Source organism: Homo sapiens, chromosome 7, assembly GCF_000001405.40.
Source record: "Homo sapiens chromosome 7, GRCh38.p14 Primary Assembly".
Taxonomy (NCBI): Eukaryota; Metazoa; Chordata; class Mammalia; order Primates; family Hominidae; genus Homo; species Homo sapiens.
Genome location: NC_000007.14, coordinates 116926878 through 116930228, shown reverse-complemented (window position 1 = coordinate 116930228; position 3351 = coordinate 116926878). Strand labels below are relative to the sequence as shown.

At 42.8% G+C, this 3351-nt stretch overlaps 1 annotated feature.

Moving 5' to 3' along the window:
• Window positions 1040–1334: a silencer, noted in NCBI's record as "tiled region #2110; K562 Repressive non-DNase unmatched - State 22:ReprW". NCBI's record gives its function as "represses a minimal TATA promoter and a strong SV40 promoter by Sharpr-MPRA in K562 cells {active_cell/tissue: K562}" and the evidence as "EXISTENCE:reporter gene assay evidence [ECO:0000049][PMID:27701403]".

The window sequence follows — 3351 nt, the reverse complement described above, 5'->3', positions numbered from 1 at the left end:
AGGCAGGACGATCACTTGAACCCAGGAATTTGAGGCTGCAGTGAGCTATGATCGTGCCACTGCACTCCAGCCTGGCAACAAAGCGAGATTCCAGAGAGAGACAGAGCGCGAGCAGATGGAGAGAGAAAAAAAGTTTGCAACCATTTCTAAGGGGCTCTCCCATGAATATTCTTCTGTAGAATATTTAACATATTCTGTGGCCAGAATATATTAAATGTGTGGGGAGGAAAAATCTGTCAGTCTTTTCCTTTATGATTTCTGAGTTTTGTTGACTTTACAGGAAGGTTTTTCTGTAACTCATTATTAGTTCCAAAATGTTCACTATTTGGTTTGGCCAGATCTTCAAGCCCATATGATTTTTTTTTTTTTTTTTAAATATCAGACAGGATGAGGTGCAGAGTGAGCACCTAAGTTTTTTTTTTTTTTTTGAGACGGCGTCTCGCACTGTTGCCCGGGCTGGAGTGCAGTGGCGCAATCTCCGCTCACTGCAACCTCCCAGGTTCAAGCGATTCTCCTTGCCTCAGCCTCCCAAGTAGCTGGGATTACAGGTGCCTGCTGCCACGCCCGGCTAAGTTTTTTGTATTTTTAGTAGAGATGTGGTTTCACTATGCTGGCCAGGCCAGGCTGATCTCGAACTCCTGACCTCATGATCCGCCCGCCTCAGCCTCCCGAAGTACTGGGATTACAGGCATGAGCCACCGCTCCTGGCTGAGGATCTAAGTTTTAAGATTAGGTTAAGCTGCAGATGACAACAAACAAAATAGCAGAGGCTTAAACAAGATAGAAGTTTGTTTCTCAGGTAAAAAGCCAGGTACATGATTTGAGCTGGTATTGTGTTTCAAAGTGTGAGGGAGAGTGTTCAGTTCCATTTGTGCCTAGACCTGATGGCTCAAGACGGTGGCATCAGAGTTTCAAAGAGCAGGATGGAGGAAGAGAGAATAAAAGGGGAGTACACAGGTTCTGACCCTGAGGGCAAATCCCAGGAGTTGCCCTACAACGCTTTCATTTATCCCATTAGCCAGAACTTAGTCACATAACTAAAAATAAATATTGAAGGGGCAACCACCAATTTCCACCACAGATTACCGCCTTTGATTTATGTGAACACATCCTTCTAGTTACACACAGAGTAGTATATTTACCCCCCCCCCAAGGACCCATCCCTCACTACAGTCAGCTCCAAGTCCAAGATAGCAGGGTGAATACACAATTCTCATCACCAAAAACAAATGCATCTCATCGTCCAGCAAACTATAAATTAGAAGATGTTAAGTGCCCTAACACTCTTAATATACAACGTAGGAACAGAATAATTGCAATTCAGAAATGAAACAAGGTTTCCCTACTCTGGTAGTGGTTTTATGGCTTAGTTCATGAGGTAGCCCCTGATTCCGCTCTCTGAGGAAAACTCCTTGTGCGTCATTCCCAGGGAAGGTTCTTCATTGTCCATTATCTTTCCTGGCTATGACTGGGGCTGCACAGCTTTCAGAGTTCACTGTTGTTGATTAGGGTGGCCACACATAGCAGTTTGTCCAGAATAGTTCCTATTTACACCTGTTATTTCAATGTAATAATTAAGAGCTCTCCATTCTCTCAAAAATATTGCAGTTTGGCTAACACATTACATAATTGCTCTATTCCAAAATTCAATTCACAAGGAACTGCCAACAACCACATAAGCTTGGAAGAGGAATCCAAGCCTCAGATGAGATTGCAGCCTCAGACATCACCTTGATTTCAGCCTCGCGGAACCATGAACAGAGGACACAGCTGACATGTGCCTGAACCCATGAGAACTGTGAGATAATAAGGTTGCATTATTTTAAGACCTAACTTTGTGACCACTTGTTATACAGCAATAGAAAATGAATATATTTTCTATGACAGTGGGCTTGGGGGAAGGGCAATACACTTATTCTCATCTCTACCTTTAACCTTCTCCTGGGTAATGTTATCACTTTGGACCTACAGTCCACAAATTACAAGTGAGAGAAAGAAGGATCTTGACAGTCCAGTTCAGTGGACTTGGAAACATTTTTATTTTTTTATTTTTTTGAGATGGAGTCTCGCTCTGTTGCCCAGGCTGGAGTGTAGCTAACTCTGCTCATTTAATCTCCACCTCCCAGTTCAAGTGATTCTCCTGCCTCAGCCTCCTGAGTAGATGGGATTACAGGTGCACGCCACCACGCCTGGCTAATTTTTTTGTATTTTTAGTAGAGATGGAATTTTGCCATGTTTGTCAGGCTGGTCTTAAACTCCTGACCTCAAGTAATCTGCCTGCCTCGGCCTCCCAAAGTGCTGGGATTACAGGTGTGAGCCACTGCACCCAGCAGGGCAATCCTTGCAAAATTTGAAGTTGTAAGAAGTTCTGCTGGGCTCAAATGTCTCCTCAAATAACCCAGACAAGAGAGGAGGAGTTCAGTATGGCTGCTAATTCCTTTCTTCCATTCTGAGTCTTCCCTGCCATCTTTCCTATTGTCATGTCAATCTACTTACTTGAGGCAATAATTTCAATGTTTTATCATGGCCTAACAAGGGTCACCAGCTTTCCAGCCTGCAATATCTAGGCCCTACTAAATCCCCCTAGTCACTGGAGTAATATTCCCTTCCTCTAGGGCATTATTTTTGACTGTTACAAGGATTAGGAGGTGTCAGTAGCATTTAGTGTCTAGGGATAGAGGAGAACAGTCTTGCACGTTGTAGTGGACTCAGATGTCAGCAGAACCCCTGTTGACTTACATTGCCTTTAACCAATGCCACACTTCAGATTTTGATACTTGCAGGATCCTATTTCTGGCACTAAATGCTATATAGGGTGAGAGGCAGGGGTTGCAGGGGTGGCAGGGGTGATAAGAAATAAAATACATTCCAAAGAGCAGTGGCTTAAATATGTTTATTTCTCAATAAATGTCCAGTGAGGAAGTTCAAGTTTGGTAAGGCTCTCCATAATGTCAGGAGCTCAGGTGCCATAGGCACTGCTTTTCAATTTTCTTTCTTTCTTTTTTTTTTTTTTTTTTTTTTATAGACACAAGAGAGTTTCACAGTGTTGCCCAGGCTGACTGTGAACTCCTGGGCTCAAGTGATCCTCCCACCTCAGTCTCCCAAAGTGCTGGGATTAGAGGTGTAAGCTACCACGCCTGGCCCATGCTTTTCAATTTTCTATAGGACTCTTATGTTATTGTGCTGTAGGTACTCATTAGATTTTTGAAAAAGTAACCACCTGTTAGGTAAGTTGCAAATGTTTTCCCTTGTGAATGATGTCTTCTGACTTTGTTTAGAGCATTTTAAGCCATGTAGAAAATCTTAATTTTTATGAAGTATATATATATTTTTTTTTCTTGAGATGGAGTC